We start from the raw sequence: 15,619 nt of genomic DNA, 5'->3' as shown, positions 1-15,619 counted from the left end.
CAATTAAAAGACACAGACTGGCAAATTGGATAGAGTCAAGGCCCATCAGTGTGCTGTACTCAGGAGACCCATCTCACGTGCAGAGACACACATGGACTCAAAATAAAGGGATGGAGGAAGATCTACCAAGCAAATGGAAAGCAAAAAAAAGCAGGGGTTGCAATCCTACTTTCTGATAAAACAGACTTTAAATCAACAAAGATCAAAAGGGACAAAGAAGGTCATTATATAATGGTAAAGGGTTCAATTCAACAAGAAGAGCTAACTATCCTAAATACATATGCACTCAATACAGGAACACCCAGATTCATAAAGCAAGTCCTTAGAGACCTAAAAAGACACTTAGACTCCCACACAATAATAATGGGAGACTTTAACACCCCACTGTCAATATTAGACAGATCAACGAGACAGGTTAACAAGGATATCCAGGACTTGAACTCAGCTCTGCACTAAGCAGACCTAATAGACATCTACAGAACTCTCCACCCCAAATCAACAGAATGTACATTCTTTTCAGCACCACATTGCACTTATTCCAAAATTGACCACACAGTTGGAAGTAAAGCACTCCTCAGCAAATGTTAAAGAACAGAAATCACAACAGTCTGTCTCTCAGGCCACAGTGCAATCAAATGAGAACTCAGGATTAAGAAACTCACTCAAAACCACACAACTACGTGGAAACTGAACAACCTGCTCCTGAATGACGACTGGGTACATAACGAAATGAAGGCAGAAATAAAGATGTTCTTTGAAACCAATGAGAACAAAGACACAACATGCCAGAATCTCTGGGACACACTTAAAGCAGTGTGTAGAGGGAAATTTATAGCACTAAATGCCCACAAGAGAAAGCAGGAAAGATCTAAAATCGACACCCTAACATCACAATTAAAAGAACTAGAGAAGCAAGAGCAAACAAATTCAAAAGCTAGCAGAAGGCAAGAAATAGCTAAGATCAGAGCAGAATTGAAGGAGCTAGAGACACAAAAACTCTTCAAAGAAATCAACGAATCCAGGAGCTGGTTTTTTGAAAAGATCAACAAAATTGATAGACCGCTAGCAAGACTAATAAAGAAGAAAAGAGAGAAGAATCAAATAGACGCAATAAAAAATGATAAAGGGGATATCACCACTGATCCCACAGAAATACAGACTACCATCAGAGAATACTATAAACACCTCTATGCAAATAAACTAGGGAATCTAGAAGAAATGGATAAATTCCTGGACACATACACCCTCCCAAGACTAAACCAGGAAGAAGTTGAATCTCTGAATAGACCAATAACAGGCTCTGAAATTGAGGCAACAATTAATAGCTTACCAACCAAAAAAAGTCCAGGACCAGATGGATTCACAGCCGAATTCTACCAGAGGTACAAAGAGGAGCTGGTACCATTCCTTCTGAAACTATTCCAATCAATAGAAAAAGAGGGAATCCTCCCTAACTCATTTTATGAGGCCAGCATCATCCTGATACCAAAGCCTGGCAGAGACACAACAAAAAAAGAGAATTTTAGACCAATATCCCTGATGAACATCAATGCGAAAATCCTGAATAAAATACTGGCAAACCGAATCCAGCAGCACATCAAAAAGCTTATCCACCAAGATCAAGTTGGCTTCATCCCTGGGATGCAAGACTGGTTCAACATACACAAATCAATAAACGTAATCCATCAGCTAAACAGAACCGAAGACAAAACCACATGATTATGTCAATAGATGCAGAGAAGGCCTTCGACAAAATTCAACAGCCTTTGTGCTAAAAACTCTCAATAAACTAGGTATTGATGGGATGTATCTCAAAATAATAAGAGCTATTTATGACAAACCCACAGCCAATATCATACTGAATGGGCAAAAACTGGAAGCATTCCCTTTGAAAACTGGCATAAGACAGGGATGCCCTCTCTCACCACTCCTATTCAACATAGTGTTGGAAGTTCTGGCCAGGGCAATCAGGCAAGAGAAAGAAATAAAAGGTATTCTGTAGGGACCAGTCCCACAGGGTCGGCGGGTCTCTCCCCATGTGCAGAGACGAGAGAGTGTAGAAATAAAGACACAAGACAAAGAGATAAAAGAAAAGACAACTGGGCCCGGGGGACCACTACCACCAAGTCGCGGAGACCAGTAGTGGCCCCAAATACCAGGCTGCACTGATATTTATTGGATATAAGACAAAGGGGCAGGATAAGGAGAGTGAGCCATCTCCAGTGATAGGTAAGGCCATGTGGGTCATGTGTCCACTGGACAGGGGGCCCTTCCCTGCCTGGCAGCCGAGGCAGAGAGAGAGAGGAGACAAAGAGAGAAACAACTTACACCATTATTAGAGACTTTTAGTACTTTCACTAATTTGCTACTGCTATCTAGAAGGCAGAGCCAGGTGTACAGGATGGAACATGAAGGCGGACTAGGAGCGTGACCACTGAAGCACAGCATCACAGGGAGACAGTTAGGCCTCCAGACAACTGCGGGCGAGCCTGACTAATGTCAGCCCCTTCACAAGAGGTGGAGGAGTAGAGTCTTCTCCAAACTCCCCCTGGGAAAGGGAGACTCCCTTTCCCGATCTGCTAAGTAGCAGGTGTTTTTCCTTGACACTTACGCTACTGCTAGACCACGGTCTGCCTGGCAATGGGCGTCTTCCCAGACGCTGGCGTTACCACTAGACCAAGGAGCCCTCTGGTGGCCCTGTCTGGGCATAACAGAAGGCTCGCACTCTTGTCTTCTGGTCACTCCTCACTATGTCCCCTCAGCTCCTATCTCTGTATGGCCTGGTTTTTCCTAGGTTATGATTATAGAGCGAGGATTATTACAATATTGGAATAAAGAATAAGTACTACTAATGATTAATTATATTCATATATAATCATATCTAAGATCTATATATGGTATAACTATTCTTGTTTTATATTTTATTATACTGGAACAGCTCGCGTCCTCGGTCTCTTGCCTTGGCACCTGGGTGGCTTGCCACCCACAGTATTCAATTAGGAAAAGAGGAAGTCAAATAGTCCCTGTTTGCAGATGACACGATTGTATATTTAGAAAACCCCATCGTCTCAGCCCAAAATCTCCTTAAGCTGATAACCAACTTCAGCATAGTCTCAGGATACAAAAATCAATCTGCAAAAATCACAAGCATTCTGATACACCAATAACAGACAAACAGAGAGCCAAATCATGAGTGAACTCCCATTCACAATTGCTACAAAGAGAATAAAATACCTAGGAATCCAACTTACAAGGGATGTGAAGGACCTCTTCAAGGAGAACCACAAACCACTGCTCAATGAAATAAAAGAGGGCACAAACAAATGGAAGAACATTCCATGCTCATGGATAGGAAGAATCAATATCGTGAAAATGGCCATACTGCCCAAGGTAATTTATAGATTCAGTGCCATCCCCATCAAGCTACCAATAACTTTCTTCACAGAATTGGAAAAAACTACTTTAAAGTTCATATGGAATCAAAACAGAGCCTGCATCGCCAAGACAATCCTAAGCCAAAAGAACAAAGCTGGAGGCATCATGCTACCTGACTTCAAACTATACTACAAGGCTACAGTAAGCAAAACAGCATGGTACTGGTACCAAAACAGATATATAGACCAATGGAACAGAACAGAGGCCTCAGAAATAACACCACACATCCACATATCTACAGCCATCTGATCTTTGACAAACCTGACAAAAACAAGAAATGGGGAAAGGATTCCCTATTTAATAAATGGTGCTGGGAAAACTGGCTAGCCACATGTAGAAAGCTTAAACTGAATCCCTTCCTTACAAAAATTAATTCAAGATGGATTAAATACTTAAATGTTAGACCTAAAACCATAAAAACCCTAGAAGAAAACCTAGGCATTACCATTCAGGACATAGGCATGGGCAAGGACTTCATGAATAAAACACCAAAAGCAATGGCAACAAAAGCCAAAATAGACAAATGGGATCTAATTAAACTAAAGAGCTTCTGCACAGCCAGAGAAACTACCATCAAAGTGAACAGGTAACCTACAGAACGGGACAAAATTTTTGCAATCTACCCATCTGACAAAGGGCTAACATCCAGAATCTACAAAAAACTTAAACAAATTTACAAGAAAAAATCAAACAACTGCATCAAAAAGTGGGCAAAGGATATGAACAGACACTTTTCAAAAGAAGACATTTATGCAGCCAACAGACATGAAAAAATGCTCATCATCACTGGTCATCAGAGAAATGCAAATCAAAACCACAATGAGATACCATCTCACACCAGTTAGAATGGTGATCATTAAAACGTCAGGAAACAACAGGTGCTGGAGAGGATGTGGAGAAATAGGAACACTTTTACACTGTTGGTAGGAGTGTAAACTAGTTCAACCATTGTGGAAGACAGTGTGGCAATTCTTCAAGGATCTAGAACTAGAAATATCATTTGACCCAGTGATCCCATTACTGGGTATATACCCAAAGGATTATAAATCATGCTACTATAAAGACACATGCACACGTATGTTTATTGCGGCACTATTCACAATACCAAGGACTTGGAACCAACCCAAATATCCATCAATGATAGACTGGATTAAGAAAATGTGGCACATATATACCATGGAATACTATGCAGCCATAAAAAAAGATGAGCTCATGTCCTTTGTAGGGACATGGATGAAGCTGGAAACCATCATTCTGAGCAAACTATCACAAGGACAGAAAACCAAACACCGCATGTTCTCACTCATAGGTGGGAATTGAACAATGAGAACACTTGGACATAGGACACATTACACACCGGGGCCTGTCATGGGGTCGGGGGATGGAGGAGGGATAGCATTAGGAGAAATACCTAATGCAAATGACGAGTTAATGGGTGCAGCAAACCAACACGGCACATGTATACATATGTAACAAACCTGCATGTTGTGCACATGTACCCTAGAACTTAAAGTATAACAAAAAAAAAAGAAAAGAAAACAATCTGGCAGTTCCTCAAAAGGTTAAACACAAAGTTATCACATGACCCAACAATTCCACTCCCAAGAGAACAGAAAACACATATTCATGTAAAAACTTAGGCACAAATGTTCATAGTGGTATTATTTACAGTAGCCAAAAAATGAAAACAACCGAAATGTCCACCAACTGATGAGTGGATAAATAAAAGGTAGTATGTTCATAAAAAGGAATATCATTTGGCAATAAAAAGAAATGAAGTACTGATACATGCTACAACATGGAGTAACCTTGAAGACATTATGACAAGTACAAGAAGCCAAAAACAAAAGACCACATATTGTATATTCCATATATATGAAATGTTCAGAATAGACAAAGCTATGGAGACAGAAAGAGATTTGTGGCTGCCTAGGGCTGGAGGTTTGGAAGGAAATGGGGAGTGACTGCTAATGGGTATGAAGTTTCTTTTGTGGGTGAAAATGTTCTAAAATGGATTGTTTTAATGGTTGTACTCCTCTGCAAATATACTAAAGCCCATTCAATTGTACACTTTAAATGGGTATAAGGTAGGTATAGTAGGTTGGATAATGGCTCTCGAAGATGTAAAGTCCTAATCCCTGGATCTGTAAATGCTTCCTTATATGGGAAAAGAGTCTTTGCAGATGTGATTAAGGATTTTGAGATGGGGAGATTATCCTAAATTATCTAGGTAGACCCTAAAATGCAATCACATATATCCTTTTAAGAAGGAGATTTCTCAGACAGGAGAAGAAAAGGCAATGTGACCACAAAGACAGGGACTGGTGATGCAGCCACAAGTAAAGGAATGCCAACAGCCACCAGAAGTTGGAAGAGCCAAGGAACAAATTCTTCCACAGACCCTCCTGAGAGAAGTGCAGCCCTGCCAGCACCTTCATTTTGGCCCAGTGATACTGATCTTGGACTTCTGGCCTCCAGAGCTGTGAGAAAATAAATGTCTGCTGTTTTCAGCAACCAAGTTTGCAGTAATTTGCTACAGCAGCCACAGGAAATAAATGCAGTTTGTAAATTATATCTGAATAAAGCTGCTACCAAAAAAAGTTTAAAAATCTGCACAATTATTGTAAATTTTTTACCTTTTATTTATATTTTTATATATTCTATTACAATGTGCTATAAACTCATAAAGCTTAAGAGAGTCCTATTAACTTCATTAATTTTAAATTTTAAAATATAAAAAAATTTTTTTTTTTTGAGATGGAGTCTTGCTCTGTCACCCAGGCTGGAGTGCAGTGGCATGATCTCAGCTCGCTGCAACCTGTCTCCTGGGTTCAAGTGATTCTCCTGCCTCAGCCTCCCAAGTAGCTGGGACTACAGGCACATGCCACTATGCCCAGCTAATTTTTGTATTTTTGGTAGAGACAGGATTCACCATGTTGGCCAGGCTGGTCTTGAACTCTTGACCTCCAACGGTCTGCCTGCCTCGGCCTCCCAAAGTGCTGGGATTACAGGCGTGAGCCACCTCACCCAGCCTTAAAATATAAAATTTTCACATTTACAAATATAAAAAATAGTCTTGATCTCATTAAATGATTTTTAACCTTGAAATCTGCTTTTTGTTTATTTACTTGTTTATTTAATGTATCTGCTATTCCTTTAACAATTTTCTTATTTTCATCTTTTTTCATCCTTTTATATTAGATGTTTAGCTTATAAAATGCATATAGTACAGCTTTTATTTTTTTAATCAGCAAAACCCATCAATCATTAGATTGCTATTGACTTAATAGATTGGGGGATTGGGGAAGAGAGGAAAACATACTGCTTTATCAAATGACGCAGCTTTTCGTTTTTTTGTTTTGAGACAGGGTCTCACTCTGTTGCCCAGAGTGCAGTGGTGCAATCATGGTTCACTGCAGCCTGACTTCCCAGGCTCAAGCAATCCTCCTAGGTCTCAGCCTCCTGAGTAGCTGGGATTACAGGCGTGAGCCACCATGCCTGGCTATGTTTTTAATTTTTTGTACAGACAGGGTCCCACTATGTTGCCCGGGCTGGTCTTGAACTCCTAGGCTCAAGCGATCCTCCAGCCTTGGCCTTCCAAAATGGTGGTATAACAGGTGTGGGTCACCACTCTGGGCTAAATGATGCACCCTGATTTCAGAGATGCAAAAGGAAAACCACTCATCTTGGAATTATGGAAATATGATTGTTTGGACTTCCTGTTTAGAAGTCTCTAACCACACAGAAGAATAGGAAAAGTTACATTTTAAACTGACATGGTCAGAGAAGACCTCTGTCTCTACAAATTGGGAAGAACGAGGGGTTCATTTTTACAATATTCTCTTAATAATAGTTTGTGTAATTTTTAAAAATTTACTCCAGTGATGTTACTTGGGCAGTTTATGAGTAAAATAAGACTCTGGAATAAATTTATTCCCAACTGAACAAGAATAAGAAGTCATACTCGATTTATCTTTTCATTTCAGTCTGGCAGATTAAATTGTATTTCCCAATAAATATGAAAAGATAATGGAGGGATGACAGCTTCATCAACAGCAGACAAAGTAACAAGAAGCCACATGGAACTAGGGTTTTCTTACCACTTCTAATTTATCCACTGCTTGTCTACCCATTTCTTCCCCTAATAAATCTTGGGATGACTGAAAAAATTTTACCTAATACTGTGTATGCTATTTGCAGCCGAGTTTGCTAAAAGCAAAAACAACAACAAAAAAGACTGTTTTCCATTCTTCTGGTTTTGATTTATCTTCTATCAACAGGACAATAGGTAGTGTATTAAAATATATACATTCTTGAAAAAATTCATGCTATACTCTTCTTTCTGTAAAAATCAAAATTTACATGGACACTAAAAAATCTCTCATTCAGCTGGGCGCAGTGGCTCACACCTATAATCCCAGCACTTTGGGAGGCAGAGGTGGAAGGATCGCTTGAATCCAGGAATTTGAGACCAGCCCGGGCAACATAGGGAGATTAATGTCCACAAAAATAAACAAAATTAGCCAGGCAAAGTGGCATGTGCCAGGCAAAGTGGCATCCCCCCTACTTGGGAGGCTGATGTGGGAGAATAACCTGAGCCCAGGAGGTTGAGGCTGCAGTGAGCCGAAATTGTGCCAATGCACCCCAGCCTGGGTGATAGAGTGAGACTCTGTCTCAAAAAAATAAGATAAAATCTCAGTAATTCAAATTTTGTAAAATGTTCTACTTTTATTTTCCATTGGAAAGGAAGAAAATAGTAATGTAGAAAAACTTTTATTTGGAAAATTAGCTACCTATAAAAAGAAGGTTTGTTTAATAAACATAGTGATATGCTTTGCTAGCCATTTTAGGGGGAAAAAATTAAGTTAGATTCTCACCTTCTATTACTTATCAAAACAATTTTCAAGTTAATTTTAAAAAGTAAAAAGAGCTAGAAAAAACTAGGTGAATATTTAACTGATTTGGGAAGAAGAGAATCTTCTAAGCATGGGAGCAATAAAAAAGATCTCCAAAAAAAATCTACAAATTTGTTTGCATAAAATTTTAAAATTTTTTTGTAAATTAGAAACCACCAAAATTTTAAAACAATTGAGAAACGTTGAAAAATATGTTAACAGAAAAACCAAACGCTATAAAATATTTTAAAGAAGTTTATTCTGAGATAATATAAGTGACCACAGCCTGAGGAAAACACAAACCCAAGAAGCCTTGAGTAAGTGGTCCTAAGGCAGTCGGATTACAGTTTGGTTTTATACATTTTAGGGAGGCAGAATTTACACGCAAAGACATAAGTCAATACACGGAAGGTATACGTTGGTTAGGCCCCAAAAGATGGGATATCGTGAAGCAGGGGTTTGCAGGTTATAGGTGGATTCAGAGATTATTTAATTTGCAATTGTTTAAAGGAGTAAGGCTCTGTCTAAAACTTGGAGTCAGCAGAAAGGAATGTTTTAAGTTAAGATAAGGCTGCTATGTGGCAAGACTGATGGCCTACAGGCTTGACTTAACCCTTACCTGACATGGCCTTAGGTCTTGTTTGTAACTTAGTATCTTATTGCCAAAAAGAGTCTGTTTTGTCAGTTTTAGGATCTGTATTTTAACATTAACAATCGTCACTTACTGTGCCTAAACTCCAAAGGGGAGGAGATATAATGAGGCAGGCCTGACCTCCCTTCTTGTCATGGCAGGGAATTCAGTTTTTAAGGTTTTTCTGGGGTTCCCTTGGATAAGAGGGGGTCTGTTCAGTCAGCAGAAGGCTTAGGATTATATTTTTAGTTTACAAACATATGCAATTTGTGATCATAAATAATGTCTTTAATATATAATGAACATTTACAATTCCATAAGAAAAAATAAAAATCAGGTAAGATGGCCAAAGGATCTGAATGCATAATTTACGTAAGAAGAAATTTTTAAATTACATAGAATAATCTTTAATCTCACCAGAAATCTCAAAGATAAGAGTTAAAAAACAAAATGCCATCAAATTACTTTTATTTGTTTGAGACAAGGTCTTGCTCTGTCATCCAGGCTGGAGTGCAGTGGCTTGATTATAGCTCACTGCAGCCTTGAACTCCTGGGCTCATGCAATCCTGACTTGGCCTCACCAAGAGATTTCTTATACTCAATAATACCTACTGTTGGTGATAAGACGGTGCCTTGAGAGCCATCATGCATTGCTGAGGAGAATAAATCAGTATAACCAAGAACACAATTTGACAAATATATACTAAAACCTCAAATATTTATTCTTTAACATATTTGTTCCATTTCTGGGACTCTAACACTGAAACTGTGTCTTAGCTCAGGCTGCAATAACAAAATACCATAGACTGGGTGACTTAAACAACAGAGATTTATTTTCTTACAGCTCTAGAGGCTGGAAAGTCCAAATCAAGGTGCCCACAGAGGCCAGGCACAGTGGCTCACACCTGTAATCCCACAACTTTGGGAGGCCGAGGTAGGCAGATCATGAGGTCAGGAGTTCGAGACCAGCCTGGCCAACGTGGTGAAACCTTGTCTCTACTAAAAATACAAAAAAAAAAAAAAAAAAAAATTAGCCAGGAGTGGTGGCACTCTCTTGTAATCCCAGCTACTCAGGAGGCTGAGGCAGGAGAATCGCTTGAACCTGGGAGGTGGAGGTTGCAGTGAGCCAAGATTGCACCACTGCACTCCAGACTGGGCGACAGAGCAAGACTCCATCTCAAAAAAAAAAAAAAAAGTGCCCACAGAGTTAGTATCTGGTGAGGGTTATTGAATAAAAATTATAGAAGGCAGTTGTCTTGGACTAAGCTCCTGAACCAGGCCCAACAGACCAGACTAAAAATCAAAATGGAGTAACTCAGACTGAGGTTCCACAACACTAAACTAAAACTAAATTGTTATCTAACCTTTAAAGAAATCAGAAAATTTCGCCTCCACTGAGCAATAACAAGGCACCTTGCCCCTGCCTCCAAAATGTCAATGGAGATTGAATGGGGAAATTGGATCTTTATGCCCACCTGGCAGTAGAGAGGTGGCACTCCCCTTCTTCCACCAGCATGGTATCAGAGGAAGCTTTTTAAAAGAAGATGCAAATAAGATCCCAAGTCTCATAGTGATAGATGCAGGAGAAGCTAAGGAAACCTTGCACAGGGTCTTGCCTGGGCATGCCTGCAAATGATTGGGGGACCACATGTGCATTGGGAGAATGGGGCAGAGCCACCAATAATTCACGCCTTATGAGAGGGGAGAAGCCAGGCCTCTTCGGCTCCCATGTGGTGACCTGGTATTCAGTCTGTGAAGTGAGAACCTGTTGGATGGACCCTCTTTTTCTTTGTGGAGAGTTTTCTTTTTGCCTAATAAATCCATCTTCACCCTTCAATGTGTCTGCATGCCTCATTTCCCTAGTTGTGAGACAAGAACTTGGATTTTAGCTGAACTAAGGAGCAAAAAATCCTGCATCAATAGCATTATAACCAAAATGTCCAAGACAAAACAGAAGATCACATATTGTATGAGGAACTAGGAAAATCTCAACTTGAATGAGAAAATTTAATCAGCAGATGCCAACACTGAGATGACACAGCTGTTGGAATTATCTGAGAAGGATTTTAAAGCAGCCACTATAAAAATAATTCAACAAGCAATTATGAACATGCTTAAAATAAATTAAAAACTTAAAAGTCTCAGCAAAGAAATAAAAGACATGAAGAAAAACGAAAATTTTGAAAAATACAACTCAGGAGGCTGAGGTGGGAGGATCACATCTCTTTTTTTTTTTTTTTCTTTTTCTCCCCTCCCCAAAACCACATTTCTTAAAAAAACAACAAGGCTGGGCACAGTGGCTCACGCCTATAATCCCAGCACTTCGGGAGGCTGAAATGAGAGGATCTCTTGAGCTCAGGAGTTTCAGACTAGCCTGGGCAACATAGGGAGACCCTGTTTCTACAAAAATAAAATTTAGCCTTATATGGTGGTGCATGACTGTGGTCCCAGCTACTTGAGAGGCTAAAGTGGGAGGATGGCTTGGGCCTGGGAGGTTGAAGCTGCAGTGAGCCGCGATCATGCCACTGCACTCCAGCCTGGGTAACAGAGCAAGAACCTGTCTGAAAAAGAACAACAACAACAAAAACTACTGAAATAAAAAGCTCAAGGTATGGGCTTAGCATCAGTGTGGAAAAGACAGAGGAAGGAATCAATGGACTTGAACACAGAACAGTAGAATTTACCCGAACAACAGAGGAAATATCAGACCCCCCCCCCGCTACAAAAAAAAAAGAGGAAAAAAGAAATAACAGAATCTCAGAGTCTCAGCAACATGTGGGATTATAATAAAAGATCTAACATTCATGTCTTCAGAGTTCAGAACACTAAATACAAACCAACAAGAGAAAAACAATACTTTACCTACTGAGGAAAATTAATTGGAATGAAGTGGATTTTTCATCACCAACCATGGAGATCAGAAGGAAATGAGAGAACATTTTCAAGGGCTAAAATAGAAGAATTTTCAATCAAGAATTCTATATCCAGTGAAATTATCATTCAGGAATAAAGGGAAAATAAAGACATTCTCAGACAATGTAAAACTAATAGAAGTTGTCTCATCTGTAGATCTGCTGTAAAAGAATGGCTATAGAAGAAATTCTCTAAATAGAGTGCATAAAAGAAGGAATCTTGAAACATCGGGAAGGAAGAACAATGAAAAAAGCAAAAAACACAGGTAAATACAACAGACTTTTCTTCTCATCTTGAGTTTTCTAAATGATGTTTAACAGTGGAAGCAAAGTGTAACAGTGCCTGATGTGATGGATGTATGGGAAATATTTCAGACAATGATGTTTTAATTGGCAAAGTGGAAAATGACTTAAAGGAAGGTAAGATTTCTACATTTCCCCTGAACTGGCAAAATGTCATTACCAGTAGACCCAGTAGACCTTTGTGGTACTGAAATAGTTTTGTATCTTAATTTTGGTGGTGGTAACAGAAATCTACATGTGCTAAAATAACATAATACTATACACACACATTATATCAATGTTAATTTCCTGGTTTTGATATTATACTAAAGTCATGCAAAATATAACCTTTGGGGAAACTGGATGAAGGGCATATGGGACCTCTCTGTACTATCTTTGCAACTTCTTGTAAATATATAATTATTTCAAAATAAAAAAATTTTAAAACATGTTTTAAAGAATATTTATTGACATAGAGAAATGATCAAGAGATGATATTAAGTGAAAAAAGTAGGATATTAGGCATAACCAAAAATCTATATGGAAAAACCACAAAATTAAAACTAAAAACTTACATGTCTCACTATGAATATAATAGACACTATAAAGCACAAGGGTCAAGACTATGATGAGCTTTGAAGTCAGGCTGACCTGGGTCTAGTCTAGCTCTGTCACTTATGTGCTGTGTGATCTCAAGGCAAGTGTTCAACCTTTTTAGGTCTCATTTGCAAAATGAACATAATAATAACTGAGTTGTGTGACGATTACACAAGAAAGTGCATGTAATAACCTCAGTACACAATATGGCACATAAAAAGGAGTCAAAAGTGTTAGCTATTATTATTACACAAAAAAATATAGTGTTAACTGTGGCTTTTATTGGTGGTAAATTGTGGATTTAAAATTGTTTACTTCTTTACATTTTTATGCCTTTAAATTTTTATAATGAACTTATATTATCTTTTATGGAGACATAATTCACATATCATAAAATTAATATATTTTATAATGGTTTTTAGACATGAGGGTCTCACTATGTTGCCCAGGTTGGTCCCAAACTCCTGGTCTTAAGCAATCCTCTTGCCTCAGCCTCCCTAGTCATTGGCATAAGCCACCACATCAGGCCTACTTTTATAATGAAAAAAATAGGAAAATGTTCTAACTTGCGTACTTTTAGGGAAACTAATATAAGACAAATAGGCAAGTACCACTGAACATCAGTCCCTTGCAAAGAAATGTAAGTTATGTTTATTACTGTATTAAAGAGATAAAGCTTTGACTTTTCATGAACAATTTTAATACTATCATTTGTTCCTCTGTGTATTTTTCTTCCAGTAGCTTGTCTCATTTGTATCTGTGGAATTTTAATTTATGGAGGTGACTGAGTGATGACATGGAGAGGCTAATGCCACTGAAAGAAAATTTTTATTACTTAAGACTTCCGAGTGAAGAAAGCATGCCACACCATGCAGGGCCACAGGGGAAGCACCAGGTTTGGGTCAGGAGGCAGAACAGAAAGGAGCAAAGGGACAGCCTAAGCCAGAATCCTTACTGGAGTTTCCAGAAATGCAAGCCACGAGAGGTTAAACAGTTGAGGATTGGCTGGTTTGAATAATTCTGGCAGACTCTGAGGCAGAAGGGCTATCTCTGGTTGTCTGGTACCTGGTTCTGGGTTGATTTAGAGCAGGAGAAATATTAGCTCAGTGTGTGAGAATTAGTAAGGAGATGGTTCATAGTATGGATTCTGGATCACAGGGGAGATATAAACAACTGTGGCCATTAGTTTGGCCTTGTGAGTAATGCATGACAAATAGACAAACACAGAATCTAAGAAAACACAGTTAGAACATAACTGAGGTAGAATTTGCCAAATTCTTATCTATACAATAATTTTTAAAAGAATTCCAGAAATCCCTCATACAGAGCTTTGAAAATGTATATAGTGCATAATCTTCACCTTCAATCGTGCAAAGGTGTATGAAAAGAGAAACAGAAAGTTACCTTGACTCTGGAACTCATCAGAGAAAAACAAGGGGAAATGGAGAAACATGAAAAAATATATAAGTAGGCTGTGGAAGACTTAGGACTCTAGTACCATTAAATTGCTTATTTCACTTATTCCATTACAATAGAATCATACTTTTTCATATGCAATATTATGTAGACTTTGAAACCAAACTGACTGAATACAAATTTTCCCAGTTTTACTAATTGTGAAACAGTGTGCAAGTTATTTAACCTTTCTGCATCTTGGTGTCTTCATCTGTAAAAGCAGAGGAAAGGGTTGCTGAGAGGGTTAACCAAGTTCATGTATGATACCTGGCCCATAGGAAAGTTTTTGTAAGTTTTAGATCTCATTATTGTTTGAATAACCAGATTTCACTGAATATAAGATGCTGGTTTTTCTTGATCTTACCAGAAGGTGTCAGTGGACGATTTTTATACTCTCACATCATGCGTGATACTGATTGAAAGAAATTGTAAAATTTCAGAGGAGTTGAAATATTTTAAAGTACATATTTTAGAATGTATAAAATAAGTTTTGTGCTTTCATTTAATACTAATTTAATGATGTGTGACAGCCACCAACAGACAATTGAAACTGACAAAATAATTCAATTCAAACATTAAATAATGTAACTCTTACTTCTGTAAATTCCATTTTGTTCAATCTTGGTTCTGTTGAGTCAGTAATATCCAGTTGTTTGCAGTGTGATCCTATTTATGGAATGAAGATTATTTGCTAGTTAGTTAGGTTGTAATATATATTTGATATTTATACTATAGTGCTTTAAAAGAACATAAAATTATTTATTAGCTAATGTCTAACCATAATTACAATAAAGTGAATTACATATAGTTGGGTAACATACCAAATACTACAAAATTATTACTTTTCCTGGCTGAGCAAGCAAACCAAATACTAAAAAAAAAGAGCCTATATTTTTAATGTCTGGATTGGGATAAAGCAGAAATAAATATGCACATCAATAGTATAAAAGGCTACAAAAACATCTGTGTTGGTTTATGCTAGCAGGTCCTTAAACAAAACACTTCTGCAAGCTTTCTTTTTAAAAACTTTATTTTGTCTTTAATGTTTCTTAAATTAAATAATGCATAAAAATGTTCTTTTAGTTAACAAATTCAAATAATACAAAAATATAAGCAACAAAACATGAATATCTTCCTTTTTCTCTACCTCCCATCAGCACTCTCACTCCTTTCTGCCCCAGATGTAACCACTGTCAACAGTTTATCATCCTTCCAGCAACCTTTCTATGCATTTCTGTATGTATACAAATGTATATATATATACACATGTACCTTTTTTCTACTTATAAATATGATCATTTTGATGTGCAACTTGCTTTTTCATTTACCACTCATAGTAGCTTTTTTTCAAATAGGACCTGGGGCTCAGGGAAAGTTCGTAATGTGTATATAGATTGGGAGTCATCAGCTGC

General features: G+C 38.1%; 1 protein-coding gene across 16 annotated transcripts in view; it reads right to left on the bottom strand.

The window, feature by feature from the left end:
- EFCAB5 (EF-hand calcium binding domain 5) overlaps positions 1-15,619 on the bottom strand; it is a 178,550-nt gene that overhangs the window by 93,674 nt on the left and 69,257 nt on the right. For all 16 annotated transcript variants that reach the window (NR_026738.2, XM_024450742.1, XM_024450743.1 and 13 more), the window contains one exon: positions 14,803-14,873. Coding sequence is in view for 15 of the 16 variants with exons in the window: in XM_024450742.1 (XP_024306510.1) it covers positions 14,803-14,873 (71 nt within the window). In the remaining variant the exon portion in view is untranslated. The remainder of the gene's footprint in view (positions 1-14,802; positions 14,874-15,619) is intronic.

The sequence above is a fragment of the Homo sapiens genome, chromosome 17 (genome assembly GCF_000001405.40).
Source record: "Homo sapiens chromosome 17, GRCh38.p14 Primary Assembly".
NCBI lineage: Eukaryota > Metazoa > Chordata > Mammalia > Primates > Hominidae > Homo > Homo sapiens.
The sequence above is the reverse complement of the archived record's forward strand: the minus strand, read 5'-3'. Positions and strand labels throughout refer to the sequence as shown.